Here is an 18,114-nt window from a genome sequence, read left to right as displayed (position 1 = left end):
GTGTGCAGGGGGTTGGGGGGGGGCATTCCTTTTCCCAAGTAATGCAATGAGTCTTACAAGAAATTCCTGCGTGGGACACTTCTCTGCCACAGATCACATCTCCTCAAATATCTCTTACTCCAGCCATTGCCACAGCAACTGGTCTTGCTTCCCACTTAAATTCAGTTTAGTCTAAAGCTGCCTCCTTACATATTTAAGTCTGGCCAACAGGTTTCTTTGTACATAGTAAACTATAACCTAACTGGATGTGTAAATAGGCTATAACCTACTCTCATACCAATCACTGAGTTTTGGCCAATCACAGGGGGCCAACTGTTCAAACCGTGTTCAAATAAGACAACACCAAGCTGTAACCAGTCCAACCGTTTCCGTACCTCACTTCTGTTTTCTGTGTGTCACTTTGCTTTTTCTGTTCATGAGTCTTCTTTGGCCATGCGGCAGCACTGGTGAGTCTCTGAACCTATTCTGGTTCAGGGCTGCCCAATTCACAAATCATGCTTTACTCAATTAAACTCTGTTACATTTAGTTTGCCTAAGATTTTTCTTTTAACACTGCCCTGGGGCTTCTCTGACTTTGAGATGTGGATGCCTTAGGTACCCCTGCCTGGTACTTCCAACTGTGGACCCTGAAGGGCTTCCTAGAAGTCCATAGCACACACAAGGCAGCCCGTGACCAGTCGGGGGAGTTATTGTGATAAATTCTCCTCTTCTGCCTCTGTGATGGAGACCTCTGAAGTCATTCTATGCAGCAACGTGAAGATCCTGGTGGCACCTAGCCCTGGTTGCCCTTGGCGTGACAGACTGGAGAAGGAACACTTGCTGGGTATTCTGTCCATCCCCTCTCCCACTCCTCAGTCCTGCATCCTCTCCCAAGTCAAGGCACCTACCCACAAGCCCACAAGACTGGGAGCAGGAGCGGGAGAGGATGCTAGGGACAACAACCCCAGCCATGACTGAATGCATCACAGAATCTGGAAGAGTTATTACGACCTAAAATTCCTCCTGCACACGCAAACTGGTTTTACCAAGTTCAGTTTTGTAAACAAAGTTTGCATCCAGTGAAATAGCCACTTTTGTGAATCTAGATGAAATACAGTCACTGCCCCAATCAAAAAAATGATTTTGGGATTTCTTATACATGGCCTGAAAATACTATGAGGGTCAATTTTTCAGTTTCCCCTTGTATTTCCATCAATTTTTGCTCATATTTTTGGAGTTGTCTGCAAGTTAAGAACTTCTAGATCTTCCTGGTGAACATTTATCATACAAAGTTTCCCCTTTTAACTTTCTTGCATTTTGTCTTACTGTGCATTTTGTCTGATATTTAATTCATATTTATTTGGTAAATGTTTTCTATACTTTTACTATCAACATTTCTAAATATGTTTTAGGTTTAGGTTTGTCTATTGCGGAGTATATAGTTGAGATTTTGAAAATCCATTCCAAAAATCTTTGTCTTTAACTAGAGAATTTACTCCATTTACATCAATTATAATTGTTGACATTTAAATTTTATTTTAACAAATTTATTTTTTGTGTGTATTTGCAAATGTTTTTTACCCTTTCTTTTAAATCTATTTCTCCTTTTTTTCATTTTTCAAACTGCTCAGTTTTCTTACCCCTTTTCCCCCTCTACTGGATTAGAAGGTATATATTCTGCTTCTATTTGTGGTTAATCTAGAAAATTTGACATGCATATTGATGTAAATGTAAAACTGTCCTGAACATTCGAGAAATTATAGGATGCTACTTTTGATTTCTTAATTACTTTCTACACTCTTGTTCAGGATTTTTCTTTTACCTTGTTTTTTTTCTTAATCCCATGATGCAGGCGTTATTGCTATAATTTCATATCACTAATGTTTCTTTAGATTTACCCACAAGCGTAACAATTTCCTTGCTCATTGTCCTTCCATTGCAGGCACACCACCCTTATTGTCCTCATTTGGGGGATAATTTTCCTTCTTCTGGAAGTAATCCTGAAGTAATAGGGTGAAAAGCCTATAGTTTTTGTTTGTCTGAAAATGTATTTTGTGCTTGTTCTTGAAAGATGATTTCACTAACTACACTATTCAAAGTTGACAATTATTTTCCTGAAATACTTTAAAGATTTTACTCAGCTGTCAGCTGTCAGTCTAAACACCATTCCTGTGTAGGTAATCTATCTTCACTCTCTGGCTCTTTAAAGACCTGCTGCTGATCTTTGGTTTGTGACAGTTTCACAATCATGTGTAGAGGTGCCGCTTTCATTTTTATTTAGCTTGATTGGAATTTGTGTACTTCCTGAGCCTGAGTATTGTCTTTCATTAATTCTAGAAGTGTTGCAGCTTTTAATTCATTGAATATTTCCTCGCCCCTTCTCTCCTTCTAAAACTCCAAATGTGTGTGCCCGCATGTGCGTGTGTGTGGTGTGTGTGCATGTGGTGTGTGTGTGCACCTGTGGTATATGTGTGGTGTGTGCATGTGTTTGGTGTGTGTGGTGTGGTGTGTGTGTGCACACGTGTGTGTGGTGTGCGCATGGGCATATGTAATGTGTGTGTGCGTGTGTGTGCGTGTTTGCTCACAAGTTGTGCACGTCTGTGTGGTGTATGTGCGTGCATGTGTGTGTGAGCATGCGCATGTGTGGTATTTGGTGTGTGTGCATGTGTGTGCATGTGTGCGGTGTGTGCATGTGTGTATGTGTGGTGGTGTGTGTGTGCGTGTGTGTGTGGGTGTGTGCCTGTGTGTGGTTTGTGTGCATATGGTGTAGTTGTGTGGGAGTGTGTGTGGTGTGTGCATGTGTGTGTGGTGTATGTGTGTGTGGGCACATGTGTGGTATGTGTGAGTGCATATGTGTGGTGTGTGTGAAGTGTGTGTGTGGTATGTGTAATGTGTGTGTGGTGTTTGTGCATGTGTGTGTTAGTGGTGTGTGCAGGTGCGTGTGTGTGGTATTTGTGACCACGTGTGTGTGTTGTGTTGTGTGTGTGTGCTGTGTGTATGTGGTGCGTGGGGTGTGTGTGTGTTGTGTGTCTATGTGTGAATGTGTGTGGTGTGGGTGTGCATGTGTGTGGCGTGTGTTTGTGATGTGTGCGTGTGTGTGGTGTGTGCATTATGTGTAGTGTGTGTGGTGTGTGTGTGCGAGTGTGTGTGGTGTGGTTGTGTAGGGGTGTGTGTGGTGTGTGGTGTGTGTGCGTGCTGTGTGGTTGTGTGTGGTGTGTGTGGTGTGTGCGTGTGTGTGGTGTGTGTGTGGTGTGGTGCCTATGTGTGGTGTGTGCATGTGCATGACGTGTGTGTGGTGTGTGTGTGTGGTGTGGGGGGGTGTGAGGGTGTGTTTGTGCTGTGTATGGTGTGTGTGTGTGGTGTGTGTGTGTGGTGTGTGTGTGTAGTGTATGTGTGTCTATCCCATGCCCCATGTCTTGCATCCTCTTTTCTAAATTTTCTTTCTTTTTTACTCTATGCTACAATTTCTATTTAATGGGAAAATTTAATTAATTCAGTTATTACTGATATGATGTATGGACATATCTCTTGATCTTATTTTATATTTCCCAACTTGCCATCCTTGCTTGTTCCTTCCCCACTCCACCCTTTCCTGTTTTGTTTTATTAAAATTGACCAACTTTTCTTCCATTTCTTTCACCAATGGTTTGGAAATCACATACTCTTTTTAGTTTTCTAATAATTATACATAAAATTTAAACATACCTAATAAACATGTTTCTATCACTATGTAGAGTTAGCCTGCATTTATATCATTCCTCCATCCAGACAAAAACTTTGGCTGGACAAAAATGGCTTTACTTTACTTCTACTTCTCCCTGGTCCCCAGCCAAAAAACCTGACGCTTTCCCCAGAGCACCTTCGCAGTGCTCCCAGCTGCCCTCTCAAGCCACTTCCCAGGTCTGGCTGCCATTGTCAGACGCCACTGGACCGGAAATCTACCAAAACGTCAATGCCTGCTTGCACGTAAGTCCAGGATAAAGTTAATTCTAGTTAAACTAATATGAAAAGAAAACCACAAGGGGTGTTCCTGACTATATCCCTCAGTTATAGTTTCTGCCTTGAATTCTAACCCATTTGCCTGCTACCTGCCAGGGGCTCCTCCTCAGAATTTCTCTTCCACCAAGGGATTTGTGTTTTCCCAATTTATCAGACTTTTAAAGGAATCTATCTGTCTATCTATCATCTATCTATCTATCTATCTATCTATCTATCTATCTATCTATCATCTATCTATCTATCATCTATACACTTCCTGTACCCAGTCCGTCTTGATGGAGTATGTATCTTTGCGAGGGCGAACAGATTTCTCATATCCTCATCCAGAATTCCCCGAGTTCAGGACTATCACACTGTCTTGGCCATAGTCAATCTGTGTTGATTAATTTACTAAGGAGACAAAGGTTATTCTGAGAGGGCTCATTATTAGGGAAATGCTCCTGGGCTTCCTTTGATGGCGATATGATCTTAAGGAATGCGTGAGTTCTTCTGGTTGGCTTGTCCTGTGGAAGATTTGACAGATTGCTTAGATAGGCTGGAAAGCAGCATCAGTTACAGAGCCAGGGGGCAGTGTTGGCCAGCTTTACAATTTCTCAACATTCAGCCCGGTAAGAAATTTGACTAATGCTATTAGTTCCTCATCAATAGATACACATCCTCTTGGGTCCTCGCTGGTGTTTTCAGGGCTGGGGCCATGTTTCATCTCTCTTTGGGACCCACAGAAACTGGTCTCTGGGAAAGCCATGTCCAGCCCTAGCGATCAGCACCTTTGCAGACTAATTCCTCCCCTGCCTGTGGTCTCTGCTCAAAGCTGTGACTGCATCATAAACCTTCACACCTGAGTTTGAGCTGAGAGGCTGGGAAGCCCAAGAAGTTCCTGAGGCGGTAGGCAGAGATGCGATGGCAGTTTTAGTGACCTTTGCCTTCTCAGGACAGAGCAAAGGGGCCGACAGCTCAGATCTAGCCAAAGGCTGTTCCCTGGTTTCCCTCTCCCCCTTGTAGCCTCTTATCATGGAGGGATCAAGAAACCAGGTGATTGCTGCAAAACAAGCAACCGAGCAATATCTGCGTGATGACTCAAGCAGTGCACCTGGCTCCAAGACCACTCAGGGGACAGGGTGGGCTACCAGCAGGCATCAGGACCCCTGGCCCTCCATGTGTGTGGGGACTGGTTCAGGCTTCTGCTGGACGATGAAACTACAGGACAAAGCCATGAGGGCAGGTGGCCCCTGGTCTTTCAGGCACAGTGGAAACCCTGCTGCTGCCGGTGCCTCTGCCTGGGTGTGGGAGTCTGTTTCTCTGAGCACAGTGTTGAACTTGGGACTATCCCTTTTGTCCTCTGGACTATAAGCCTCCTCCTCTAAGGTCCACATTCTAGTTGTCACTCAAATTCAAACTAAAGCAAACGCCGAGTTCTAGCTGAGGATCCATTTCCTAGCTTCACCTCTCAATTTTTAGTTTTATGCAAGTCAAAATCTAAACCTTCCCAGCCAGAGCTGGCTGCCATTCTCAGAAGCTACTGGACTGGAAATCTACCAAAATGTCAATGCCTGCTTGCACTTAAGTCCAAGATAAAGTTAATTCTAGTTGAACTAACATGAAAAGAAAACCACAAAGGGTGTTCCTGTCTATATCCCTCAGACATGGGCTTGGGTGGCTATGTCTCTGCTCCAGCCCTAAAGTAGTGTGAGAAACAGCGGTTGTCCCTGGCCCAGAGTGACGGCTGATGGGGATGGGGCAGTTGTGAGACAAAGAAGACATTGAACGGAAGGAAGGAGGGCAGGAGTTCTCCAGAGCCAGAGTCCGGTGGTCCTTAGGGAAATCTGTGGAGGGCCCCACACTGGCAGAGGCTGTGATTTTGGGAAAGGAGTAGAAACTCTGGCTATTAAGTCTGGCATGTTCTTAATGGGACTCATACACCTCTTGGAATTTTAGAGCTCAAGGATTCAGAATTTGGATCTCATTGGTTCATTTTGCAGATGAGAAAACTGAGGCCTAGAGATGTCAGGGGCCTTGCCACATGGCAGGTTGGAGGCAGAACAGAGGGCAGAAGCCAGGAGGGGTTCTAGGCCTCTCCCTTGGCTCCCTGTCTAGTGCTATCTGTACACTCAGGAGCTCCATGAAGGAGGAAGCCATTTTTGATCCACACAGGAGGCAGGACAGTGGCCACAGCTCAAAGTTCTCAGAGCTTTGCCCTTGGAGTGACCCCAAGATGTCCCTGTGATCTCAGAGACTTACAGCTCTCAAATAGCACTAAAAGTGACGCCTGGCCTTGAGCGAGAGAAGGCAGTGCAGCTACCACAGTAGGGGAACCCCAGGAGAGGCAGCTTGGGAATGGGGAAGGGCATTGGCATGTGGGGGCAATTGCTGTGCCCCCCTTGGCCCTGCAGGCCTGGCAGTTAGGGACTGTTCTCCCAGGTGTAATGATTTTCATGGTGTCTTCCTTGAACACTGAGGGCTGCAAGGGGTCTTGTGGGGAAGTCTGTTCTATGGGTGGTTGATGGATGATGTCCCCAGCCGTGCATGCTCATGGATGGCTGGGGTGAGTGATTAAGAGTTACCAGGATTTGGTGCTGCTGGAATTGAGTTACCATGTCGCTCATGCTGACCAGGAGCTGCCCCACCACAGAGCCCAACTGTTCTGCCTCCTGCACCGCCCTCAGAGCATCAGAGAGCATAGCTGCCTGGCCGGGTATCCCGCAGCCCCAGGAAGGACGCCAGGCAGTTGCTGGATTGCACTCCCACTTCCCAGCTCTTCTTGCGCTTGTGGCCACCCTCTCTCGTCCTGTGCTTCGCTGTGTGTTGTTGGGTTGACCCCGCAGGGTCAGGGGCGCACTGCACTTCTGCAGGGCTTTGTGCACAGTGCCACAGTGCATGAGGCTATGGTGTGTTGCAGCCATATGGGATCCTCAAGCCCCCTGCTGAAGCAGATGTATGCGCAGACTCCACATACCTCATCCTCACCCGGAGTTCATGGGGACATCGAGAAATAGGAGCCAGAAGGGAAGGGAGCCCTGTCACCTTGTGAAGCTGCCACCATGGCAGCCCTAGAGATATAGCTGAGAAAGCTCCTCATTTTTTCTTACTCAATTTTTTTTCTCATCTCTTTATCTATAGGTAAGCTTGCTTAAAAGAACTTTGGGTGGCCTGGTAACTTCAGGACGCTTCGCCAATTACCAGAGGAAGTAAGGCTTGCCCAAAACCGAGCAAACCAGAACCAGTGGCCCCTGTCACCTTTAGATCATTAGCATATCATTATAATGCTAAAGTCCCCACTCATAGAAGAGAATCATAGAAGAGAATCGTTGCCACTTTCTGCACACGTGTCGTATGAAGAGCCTGTTCATGATCTGCACCTGCGTGTCTGAAGTTCCTCCCCACATAAGCTTACATAGCTCCTGCCCCACATCTAACCCTGTTACATTCCCCAGCTCCCCACCGCTCTGGAAGAAGCTGTCTTTAGAGCAAGTGCTCTCTCCTTCTCCATGCCTGGCCGGGAATAAAACCTGCTTTTCCTTTTCCCCAATCTGGTGATCTTTCTTTGTAGCTGATGCAGAGTAGAGAAAGAACTCAGTGAACTGGTGACGAAGCCAATTCCAGACTCCCAGCATCTGGGTCCTGTACTTGATCTGAGCTCTGCCATGCTCTTCTAAATTCTGTGTTTTGGTTTTACTGTGCATTTCAGCTATTTGAACAGTGTCTGTCTCTCCCCAATTTGAACTGTGACCTGCTTGCTTGCAGGGACCAAAACTGGACCGTCCTTGTCCAACTGAGAGCCCTCAGCTCTTGGTGGTGCACATGGGAGAAGCTCACAGGTTTCTTCTGAGTGTCATTGGAAAGAGGTGTGTGTGTGTGGGGTCACAGAGACAAATGAAGAGAACAGGAAGAGGGAGAGATGGAGGAGAGAAGAGGAAGGGAGGGTTTTACCAGCTCTTTGGAGACCACTGAGTGCACAGGGAGTGGTTGGGGATCCGTTATCAGCCAGGACTGTTTCTTGAGCATCTGAGCACTGCGACTCTGGAGTAATGGGCATGGCAGGAGCTATGAAGGCAAATGGCGAAGGCCGTGTTGGTGGGCTCTGTCCCTAAAGCTGTTAAATTAAGATGCTCTGGACGCTATGGCTCTGCTACCTACTAGCTGGTGGCCTCGGGTGAGCTTCTGTCCTCCTGCTTATTTTCACACATGTACAGCAAGGGCAAGAGCATTCACTGCTGCAGGTTGTAGGGTCAGTAGTCACAGCTGTGTTGGCATTTCTGGCCTAAACATTAGTACCGAGACAGAAGCGAATCCCGGATTCCCAAGAACCCTGCCCTCTAAGCACTTCGTGTGTCTGCAGCCCCTGCCTGACAGCATCCAGCGTTCCAAGTGAGCTCTCCTGAAGTTGAGGCCAGCGGCTTCTTAGGGAGAAGATGTGACCAGCACTGCCCAGATAGCCTGCTGCCCTGTCCAAACCTCTGAGGGTCCTTCGGGATGCAGGGCCAAGAGTGGGTGCTCCTTGTGCTTGTTCAATCTTGTGCTTGTTCTGCAAGAGTTGATGACTGGCTGCCAGGAGGGAGGCAGTGGGGACGACCTTGGCCTGGGCTGTGACACTCAGAAGGAAGGTCTCAAGGCCACCTCTAGGTAACTCGGGCAGCAAGAAGTGCAGTTCTGCACCACCTGGTTGGTTCTGACATGTTTGGTTCTGAAATGATCACTTCTTCTTATCCAACCAGAAGGAACGAGGTAGCATTTATTTTAAAACAGAGTTAGTTCTACCTACTTTTCTCATTGCAACTGTAGAAGACCTTAGAAACGAAGGTAGTAGGAAGAAGGAGCCATTGCCGTGCACTCTCCATGGGGTGGCTGTTGGTGCCAGGCCCAGTCACAAGCAGCATAGCTGGTCTCTTCTCTCACAGGGCTCCCTCCTGGTAGGAGGACTAGGAAGATAAACACAGAGCTAATAAGTAACAGCCATGGAGAAAAGTCAAGTCAGGGGTTGAGACTAGGGAATGAGGGCGGAGGTATAACTTTATGTAGGTGACAGGGAAGAAAGGGCTCTTGGATGAAGGGATGTTTGAAGACACCTGAAGGAGGTGAGGGGGAGTCTCTGTGGACAACTGGGTGGAGCATTCCAGGCAGAAGGGACATCGTGTGGCAGTCCTGAGGTGGGAGCCTGCTGGGTGATGGGAAGGACAGGAGGAGGCTGATGTGCTGGAGCCCCAATGAGTGAGAGCAGAGGAAGAGGGTACACTGGATCAGGGAGGGCAACGCTTCTCTAACGTGAATGTGCATGCAGCTCCCCTGGGGCTTAAGATGCAGATTCTGAGGCAGCAGGTCTGAGATGGAGCCTGGCATTCTGCATTTCTACAAAGTATCCAAGTGATGCTGCTGGCCCATGGACCACACGTTAAGTAGTGAGGCTATGGCCTGTGGGCCAGGGAATGATGTGGTCTTTGTTTTGAGGAGACTGGGGAGCCTTTGGATTGTTCCAAGCTCCAGAGCAAGTTCCTCTGACTCTTGTTTTAAAGGAATTGCACTGGCTGCTGGTTAGGCTGTCAGGGGCAAGGGTGAAAGCAATTTGAAGCCTACTGAATAATCCTAAAAGAGATAGGTATGGTTAGGATGGTAGCAGGAGGGGATGGTGATGGGGGAAGAGGTTAGTGCTGCAGGTGTTCTGAAGGTGAGTCACAGGATTTGCTGACAGGCTGCATGTGGAGTGTGAGGGGGAGGAATCTAGGATGACAAGGGTATGAGCCCAAACAACAGGAAAATGCCATTTCCATTCACTGACATGGAAGATCCGTGTTGTGGGGAAGAATCCCAGGACTTGGTATGTTTCAGATGTGAATGAGACATTTGAATACAGGACTGAGATGTGGAGGAAAGGTCCAGGCGGGAGGTGTCAATATGAAAGTGAGAGGCTAGAGAGCTGGCTGCTGTTTCCTAGGGGGCAGGGGAGAAAGGGGGATTTGAGGGCTGAGCTCCTGGGCACTTCAACACTTGGAAGGCAGAGAGAAGAAAGGCACCCAGTACAGGGCACTGAGAGGCAATAGTCAGTGAGTGAAAGAACCATGCATTTTTCAGCCTCAGTTGTTGTATCAGTTACCACTGCTGAGTTACAAACCATCCCAAAATTTAGTGGCTTAAATTTATTCCTTCTACAATTCTGTAAGTGGACTGGGAGGTTCCTTTGCATCCCAGGTGTTATCTGGGGTGACTCATGAGGCTGCCTTGGCTGGGACAGGAGCCTCCACATTGGCGTCATTCTTGTCTGGGAGTTGGTCCTGGCTGTGGATGGGACAGCTTCATCCTCGCCCTGGGTCCCTTCCTCTGGAAGGCCAGCCCCGCTTCCTCACAGCTCGCAGCTGGGTTCCATGGGAGGATAAGCTGGGGCTACGGGGTCTCTCAGGACCTCCACATGGAACTGTCACAGCATCCCTCCCACCAGGCTGTACTGGCCAAAGCAATCCAGCCAGCCAGGGTCCTCCTCTGGACAGAGCAGCACACCATCATGTGCAGGCGGTGCAGGCGTGGGAAGGAAGAGTTGGTGGCCGTCTTTGGGACCCCCTGCCACAGTTAGGAGCTTTCTCAGTTTACAATTTTACTACTCACTGACCTCTGCCTCTCAGTGCCCTGTACTGGGTGTCTTTAATATTCTATTCAAATGAACTTAGGCCAACGAGCTCCCCACTGGGGGCACTGGGTGTTAGTCTTGCTCTTCCCTTAGCCAGCTGCATGCTCTTTAGTAAGTCCTTTTATTTATTTGGGCTCAGTTTCCTCATTTTTTCCACCTGGAGTTTGACAGTTGGTGGGAATGGACAGCACTAGATAAGTTTCAAATTAAGTAGACTAGTCGGGTGCCGTGGCACACGCTTGTAGTTCCAGATACTCAGGAGGCCGAGTCAGGAGGATCGCTTGAGCTCAGGAGTTCCAGGCTGTAGTGAGCTGTGATGGGAACCATTGCACTCCAGCCTGGGCTACAGGCCCTATCTCTAAAAAAGTATCATAAATAAATAAAGGAGAAAATGCAGGTCAAGCGCTAGCACTGTGCAGGGCATGTGTTATGCTAGTAGATGTCACTGATTCTCCAGCTCTAGGTACACTCCTGTCTTCTCTGGCAGACAGCAGCATTCCCCAGCAGGGGCTGGTGGCTAGCCCACGCAGAGGCTCCTCCAATGGCAGGCTCCTCCCCTCTGCAAGCCCTACAGCTCAAGGGAAAGAAACTTTCCCATCACAGAGAACTCAATAAACCAGTTTTCCAAAATCTCTCTTCCCTGTGTTTACCCGTTTGTTATGAATTTACTTCTTGGGTGTCAGAATATTTAAGAACTCGGTGGAGACCAGTTTTATACGTTTCCTTCTGTCCTTCCTGGCTCCACAGCTGCAAAAACATCATCCCCACTACTGAGCTTACTATGGGGCCACGCAAGGGTAGACGCTTGACAGACATTGTCCAATGTATTCCTTACTGCAGCTGCCCACCCCCGCCGTCCCCGCCCCCCAGGGAGACATTACTTCCGTCTTCCCCAAAAGGAAAACGAGGCACCGAGAAGTTAAGGAACTTGCTCAAGGTCACAGAGTTTGAACTCAGGCTACAGATGCTGCAGCAACTGGAGAAAGTCCTCATCGCCCCATATCACCCACCACCGACCCCCAGCAGGACGTGACCCCCGCCAGGACGGAGGCCGGCAGCTGGGGGGCTGGAGCATGGGACCCAGAACACGGACTCAGGCTTGCGCAGCCTCCTGGCTTCTAGGCGGGAGCCTAGAAAGGCGCCAGCCCCTTTCGCGTGCTGCTGAGACTCCAGGGGTGGGGTTCACTCTCAGGGGCGCACAAAGGCATGAAAACCTTGGCTTCAGCCTCTGAGATGCGGAACTGACCGACCTATTGTCTTGGGACCCACCAGTGCGCTTGGGTGCACCAGCCCCCTTAACGTTGGTGCCGGCTCCCTCCCGGCTCCTCCCCATCCCAGAGGGTCCCCTCGCCCCAGGCCCTGAGCCTGCGTCCTGGGGTCCTGGGCCGCACGTGCCTCTGGCAGCTCGAAGAAGCTGTCGGGGCTTGCAGGAGAGCGTGCAAACTGAAACCAAAACAGGCCGACTCGAGGAACATCCGGGTGGGACCGCAGACTCACCGGAGCGCAGCGCCTGGGCCAGGGCCTGGGACCCTGCTCCGCCCCGCGCTCCCCTGCACCCCTTCCCCACGCTGCTCCCCTCTTCCTAAGCGGCCCCCCCTCTCCCGGGCAGCAGAAGAAGGGGTGGGACCCGGGCGGGCTCCGGGAGGGGGCCCTGGAGGAATGGATGGTGGCGGAAGGGCGGAGCAGGGGCGGGGCCCGCGGAGACTCCACGGGGCGCCCCGGGCGTGAGGCACCCACTCTGGGAGCACAGAGAGCTCAGGTAGCCTGCCTAGATGGCGGCGCGCACCCTGGGCCGCGGCGTCGGGAGGCTGCTGGGCAGCCTGCGAGGGCTCTCGGGGCAGCCCGCGCGGCCGCCGTGCGGGGTGAGCGCGCCGCGCAGGGCGGCCTCGGGACCCTCGGGCAGCGCTCCCGCAGTTGCAGCAGCAGCAGCACAGCCAGGCTCGTATCCCGCGCTGAGTGCACAGGCAGCCCGGGAGCCGGCCGCCTTCTGGGGGCCTCTGGCGCGGGACACTCTCGTGTGGGACACCCCCTACCACACCGTCTGGGACTGCGACTTCAGCACTGGCAAGATCGGCTGGTTCCTGGGAGGCCAGTTAAATGTCTCTGGTGAGTGGGCTTCGGGAGACCCAGGACGCCCCCAACTCTTGGGTCCCGAGGGGACTCGGAGCCTCTCGCCAGCGGCAGCCGTCCCCGGGCAGCGCGGATCGCAGCCCTGCAGGGGCCCCTCCTCCGGTATTCCGTCCGCCCCGCCCGCTCTAAGCAGTGGCTCCACGTCACCCCGTCCCTCATCCCATCGGGCCCCAGATCCACGTGCCCAGCTCGGGCCGGCGCCCGCGGGGACCCGGCGGCCGCTTGGGACGCCCCGCTGCTGGCCTTGCTCGGCGCGGCTCCTCGCTCGGCGGACTCCAGAGTTGCGTTACCGGGTGCATAGCGCCGCTGAGCAAGAGCCGGCGGGGAGCCGCGGGCTACACCCGAGCGCCCCGGAGTCGGGACTTTCCCGTTCCCATACCGGGGTGGAGGGAAAAACAAAGCGGTGGCGGTTGTCACTGCGGGCTGCGGTGCCCGGGGATCAGCCTGGGGACAAGCCCTGCCCACGTAAACAAACAGAGCTGTGGCGGGCGACCTGGGGAGGAGGAAACTCGGCGTGGCAGCTGGAACCAGTTATTTCTTCGCTGCGGGCCTGGGGCCTGGGGCCTGTGGACGGGAAGGAAGTAACGGCGGCCTCCCCGTTCTCGTTCTCGGCCTCAGAGAACTGCACCCCAGCGACCTGGGGCCTGCTTTGGACCCGCGGGGTCTGACGTCGGCCCCAAACAGTTGACTGGTGGTCAGTTGTTTGGAACTTGCTGAGCAGAGGCCCTGCTGCTCTGCTAAGATTTGGGGCTGGGGGTCGTACACAGCACCCTCGCCCCCACCTAAGGCGCTGACTGGGCACCGAGGGGGAGGCCCTGAACTGCAGGCAGGGCTGGCCACGCAGGGTGGGTGCCAAGTGCGAGGTGGGCTCCGGATGCAGGGTGGGCCTGGGTGTGGGGCCTGCGGGGAGGGGCTGGCAGACACGGTGTTGATCAGAGGGATGCAGACCAGAAGGGTGGTCATAACCAGCTTGCTGGATTTGGGAGTGTTTAAGAAAGGACCTGCGGGTCTTTATGGCAGGGTCACCAGGGCCCCATTTTCTCCAACTCCTCCCTCAGTTGTCCTTGTTGTTCTGCCCCCCCAGCCCTCAGTCTCCTCATTGTGAGGATGGGGGCAGTCATGCTCAGAGGTTAGGCTGAGTGCTGCAAGGTGTGCAGCAGACCCAGCGCTTACTGGTGACCCATAAGCAGTAGCGATTTTAGATAACTTCAGAAATAGTCATACAATTATAGATAGTGTCTTGCAGTTATTTTTCAAAGAAATTGGAAGGAACTTTGGACCTCCCCCACTCCCCGAAATTGTATATTACTTTGCTGGTTTAATTAAAATGAGTCACTTACTAGATAAGTGTTTTCTTTAACATTGAGTCAGCAGCAAGTGCCCTTGAACTAGTGGGAAAAAAACCAAACCCTTTGGTTTGCAGAGTTGGGGCAATGTGCCCTTGAAGGAGACTAGAGCAGCTTGCCCAAGGACAGAGGTGGAAAGTGACCTGCTCTGGACTTGTGAGGCCAAGGTCATGGGGAACATTCACAGTTGGCCTGTGCACACTTGCAGCCCCACTCAGATAAGACAGTGGGGCGGACCTCCTGGGGCCAACAGCAAGGACCTTCTGAACCTCGCTCGGTCAGGATCAGGGTGTGGTCAGCAAGCATTCTTCTGTCTCCTTTTCCTTCACTTATTTCTTCTGATAATATGGCCTTTATGGCTACGTTAGCCAGAAATTGAGCTTCAGAAAACTAACTTGAAAAACAGCTTTTCAGCAGCTTTCTCCCCTGGGATGTGCGTGCCCTCCTGTTCATGGGTCAGCAATATCTCTTTCCTTTGCCGGTGTCTGCAAACCATAGAGAAGACAGTATGAAAAAGGGCCAGGCCAGGCCATGACTCTTCTGGGAGCATCTAGAAAGTCGTGGGATGGATGAGAACACTTTGGTCTGATCTGTCAGCTGTGTGTGATAAAGTCAGATGGCTTGTTCCAAAGGAATATCACTCTTGAAGAAAGCTTCACCTCACCCCCTCAAGAATACCAGTGGTTCTCAACGCATGGTCTTCAGACCTGCAGCATCAGCATTACCTGAGAACTTTTGAGAAATACAAATTCTGGAGCCCATCCTGGACATCTGGAATCAGAAACCCTGGGATGGGACCTGACACCTGTGTTTATAACGAGCCCTTCAGATGCTCCAGAGGACACTCGGGCTTGAGAACCACTGGCCTGTACGCCTCAAACCAGGGCAGATGAAGGCACTTCTAAAACAGAATTGGGATTAGTGTCCTGGCCTTGGCCCTATTAAACAAACAGCAAGCAAATGATGGGCTGTGGATGGCGCAACACAGTTTCGTGGCTCCAGGTGTCTTTAGAATCATGACTCGGGTTGATTTCTTGCTTTCCCTGTACTGTACTTTGCATGTTTCCTCATCTGTAAAACAAGGGCCGTATGTAACTGAATTCTGTCCTAGTTACTATTGATGTACATCAAACCACCCCTAAGTTTAGTGACACAAGATAACAACAATTTTATATTCCTCGCAGAGTCTGTGAGTCAGGACTTTGGACAGGGCCCGATGGGGATGACTCATGTCAAAGGGCAAAATTAGGACAAATTTAGTTTAAAGACCTTACTTCACTTTATTCGTGATTATAGAATTGGGAAACACCCCATTCCATAAAACAGAAGGAATGTTTGATGAGCTGAACAGAGGAGGATGGTTTTATAGACAGAAGGGGCTGAAGGATGCAGACATGGAGAACAAAAAGTGGACTGGTTATTTCAAAGCTACTTTTGTTGTAAAGGTGAAAGTGGAAGGAGCTCCCTTATCATGCCAGCTTGTTTGGAGATTTAGCTATCTTTCACTCTCCTTGTTTCTTAGAAGGTCGGATAAACAACTTAGTTTCCATTTGGTGACACCGCACTTTAGCAAGAGTGACTCCATTTTTGTGTGATCTATTGGGCCTCATGCAGCTCAGTCCAGACCAGTGGCCTCCTATACATTTTATTTAACACTTGCTCCTGCTCCTCAGTGTCTGAGGTTGGAGTCATCTGCCTGTTTCTCACTCCCAAGTCTGGAGCCTTGTTTGGGACAACTTGCAGGCTGGCTTCAGCCAGAACTGTGGCCCAAAGCACCTCCTGGGGCTTGTCACAGCATGGTGGCTGGGCCCAGGCAATTTCCTGCAACCAGAGGTCCAAGAGACCAGCACAGATGTTATCAGGCATCTTCCGACCTGGGGAAGGGGACCTGAGTGTTTGCACCTGTTTTGTTATCCATGGGAGTATCTATCAGCACACCCATCCCAGGGCTGTTAGAATGAAATGAGGAAATGCTTGTAAGGCACTCAGCACTTTCTTAACACATTATACATCCCCAGTCACTGACTATTTGTTATTTATTAATGAAGCATGTGGGGAGGCTGTGACCTTGTGCTTGGCCTTCGGCAGTGCTGCTGAGAGAGCTGAGCTTCATCTGAACTGGACCACATGGGCTTGCATCTGATCAGCCTGGGATAGGTGGGGAATAGGCTTCGGAGAGCATGCAGGTGGCTGAGGTTGCTTTCAAAGCTCCACAGTATCCTGCCCATCCCACAACTCCAATAGCCAGTTGAGGTTATGGTGTCTGAGACTCACTGGGCAGGGTAGACAGAGTGTCTGTGCCCTTCTGTGACTTGCTTCTATTGTGTAAAACTGCCTTGCAGAAGGTTCTTTGGAGAGCCAGGTTCTAAAAGGGATTCTTTCCCACCTGTGAAATTTGGCTCTGTCCTTTGTAGGGCTCTGCAGCTCTTTTTGCCCTGTGGCATATCAACTCAAGATGTCAGGAAGTTGTAAATGCAGAACCAGAGGGTAATGACATGTGTTGCTTTCAAAACACACAGCTAAGCTCTATTTTTAAAACCCCCAATTTTAAGTGATGTTTTTCAGTGTGTGTACTCTTAAGCAAGAGTGTAAAAATCCTCTTTGTAACCAAGCATTGAGCACTGGGAAATTTCTTGGATGCTTTTTGGAGATTAATTGCAGGAACAGAGGCCCTTTTGCTGTAGTTCCTCTGTGTTTGCTGTAGTTTCCTCTCTGTGGCATGCCTCTAATCGTTCAGAAGGCAGGACACTGACAGCGGCAAGACGCTGTGCGCCTGTGCTTCATTTTCCTCCTAGTGATTCCAGTGATTAAAGTAACTTTTCTAAGGTTTTTCAGGGAACTCTACATGAAAAAGGAACCCCTAATCTTAGGAGGAGGATCCTCCCGAGGAATCCAAGTCCTCCCCAGCTGTCAGGGGCACGACTTACTTTAAATAACAGATGCTTTGGGAAAATTGTCCAAAACAATTTTTGTGACTGACGTAATATCTCAAAGCCTGCCAGGGAAGATTGCTATTAAAAGAAAGTCCATTGTGGGCCAGGCGCCGTGGCTCATGCCTGGAATCCCAGTACTTTGGGAGGCTGAGGTGGGCAGATCGCTTGAGCCCAGGAGTTTGAGACCAGCCTGGCAACGTAGTGAGAACCCCATCTCAAAAAAAAAAAAAAAAAATTAGCCGAGCGTGGTGGTGCATACCTGTAGTCCCAGTTACTTGGAAGGCTGAGGTGGGAGGATCCCTTGAGCCCAGGAGGTGGAGGTTGCAGTGAGCTGAGATCACGCCAGCGCACTCTAGCCTGGGCAATGGAGTGAGACCCTGTCTCAAAAAAAAAAAAAAAAAAAAAGCTCATTGTGAATAGTAACTCCGTATTCAAATTGAATTTCTGTATGCTGGGTTCCACTTTCAGTTAGGGTGTGTGAGTGTGAGGGATGTATTTAAATAAGCAACAAGAGTACTTGAAAATTCGTACGTGTGTGTCAGGATTGTAATGGAAATCCCAATACTCTTATAATGCCTTTTTAAAACAAAATACCAAACCCCTGCCCCAGCCACGGGCATTGGCCGACTGCGTCCAGCTGTGTTAGGCCCTGGGTGGGGCCCTGGGCATCTGTGAGCGAGATGGAGCGCCCTGGCTGGCCGGCCCTCAGCTCCGCATGGCTTGTCGCATCCTCATGGCACCAACATGAAGTGGTTGGTGGTCCCATTGCACAGATTTGGAAATAAAGGCTCCAATTCATGTACAGCAATGAATAATCCAGAAAATGCTCAATACCACAGAGCCCACATTCTAATGAGGAGATGAACCATAAGTCAGTAAATGAGTAAGTCCACACTGAGGTGGGAGGGGAATTGTGATGTAATTCCCAACGCCAGTCTACATGATAAAGGAATCTTAGGGACACAGTCCCTGCCCTTGGGGAATGGCATTGTGCCCTGTAATGGGGACCACCAGGGAGCATGGGGCAGTGTGAAATGGTGTGGGCCTCTGAGAGGCGAAGGACAGGTCATCCATCATGTGCTGGGAAACTTGGGAAAGGCCGGAAATAGGAGGT

At 50.2% G+C, this 18,114-nt stretch overlaps 1 protein-coding gene and 1 long non-coding RNA gene across 6 annotated transcripts in view, besides 5 other annotated features; both read left to right on the top strand.

Annotated features, from left to right (window-relative positions):
* On the top strand, nucleotides 3,869-7,504 carry LOC124904882 (uncharacterized). The gene is made up of 2 exons (XR_007067555.1): nucleotides 3,869-3,945; nucleotides 7,096-7,504. It is a non-coding gene; the product is annotated as an uncharacterized LOC124904882 (long non-coding RNA).
* Nucleotides 11,846-12,451: an enhancer, noted in NCBI's record as "H3K27ac-H3K4me1 hESC enhancer chr20:25038651-25039256 (GRCh37/hg19 assembly coordinates)". NCBI's record gives its function as "activates a minimal SCP1, AML or CMV promoter by ChIP-STARR-seq in naive H9 embryonic stem cells {active_cell/tissue: H9 hESC(naive)}" and the evidence as "EXISTENCE:reporter gene assay evidence [ECO:0000049][PMID:30033119]".
* Nucleotides 11,846-12,601: a biological region, named in NCBI's record as "H3K27ac-H3K4me1 hESC enhancer GRCh37_chr20:25038651-25039256".
* Nucleotides 12,072-12,601: a silencer, noted in NCBI's record as "silent region_12740". NCBI's record gives its function as "represses an Ori minimal core promoter by ATAC-STARR-seq in GM12878 lymphoblastoid cells {active_cell/tissue: GM12878}" and the evidence as "EXISTENCE:reporter gene assay evidence [ECO:0000049][PMID:35858748]".
* The window catches only part of ACSS1 (acyl-CoA synthetase short chain family member 1), a 51,903-nt gene continuing 46,115 nt past the window's right edge, over nucleotides 12,327-18,114 (top strand). For all 5 annotated transcript variants that reach the window (XM_006723659.2, NM_001252675.2, NM_001252677.2 and 2 more), the window contains exon 1: nucleotides 12,327-12,697. In XM_006723659.2, coding sequence (XP_006723722.1) covers nucleotides 12,364-12,697 — 334 coding nt within the window. In that variant the 5' untranslated portion in view covers nucleotides 12,327-12,363. The remainder of the gene's footprint in view (nucleotides 12,698-18,114) is intronic.
* Nucleotides 12,732-13,001: a silencer, noted in NCBI's record as "silent region_12739". NCBI's record gives its function as "represses an Ori minimal core promoter by ATAC-STARR-seq in GM12878 lymphoblastoid cells {active_cell/tissue: GM12878}" and the evidence as "EXISTENCE:reporter gene assay evidence [ECO:0000049][PMID:35858748]".
* Nucleotides 13,102-13,231: an enhancer, noted in NCBI's record as "active region_17659". NCBI's record gives its function as "activates an Ori minimal core promoter by ATAC-STARR-seq in GM12878 lymphoblastoid cells {active_cell/tissue: GM12878}" and the evidence as "EXISTENCE:reporter gene assay evidence [ECO:0000049][PMID:35858748]".

The sequence above is a fragment of the Homo sapiens genome, chromosome 20 (genome assembly GCF_000001405.40).
Source record: "Homo sapiens chromosome 20, GRCh38.p14 Primary Assembly".
NCBI classification, from domain to species: Eukaryota; Metazoa; Chordata; class Mammalia; order Primates; family Hominidae; genus Homo; species Homo sapiens.
This window is presented reverse-complemented; position numbering and strand designations above follow the sequence as displayed.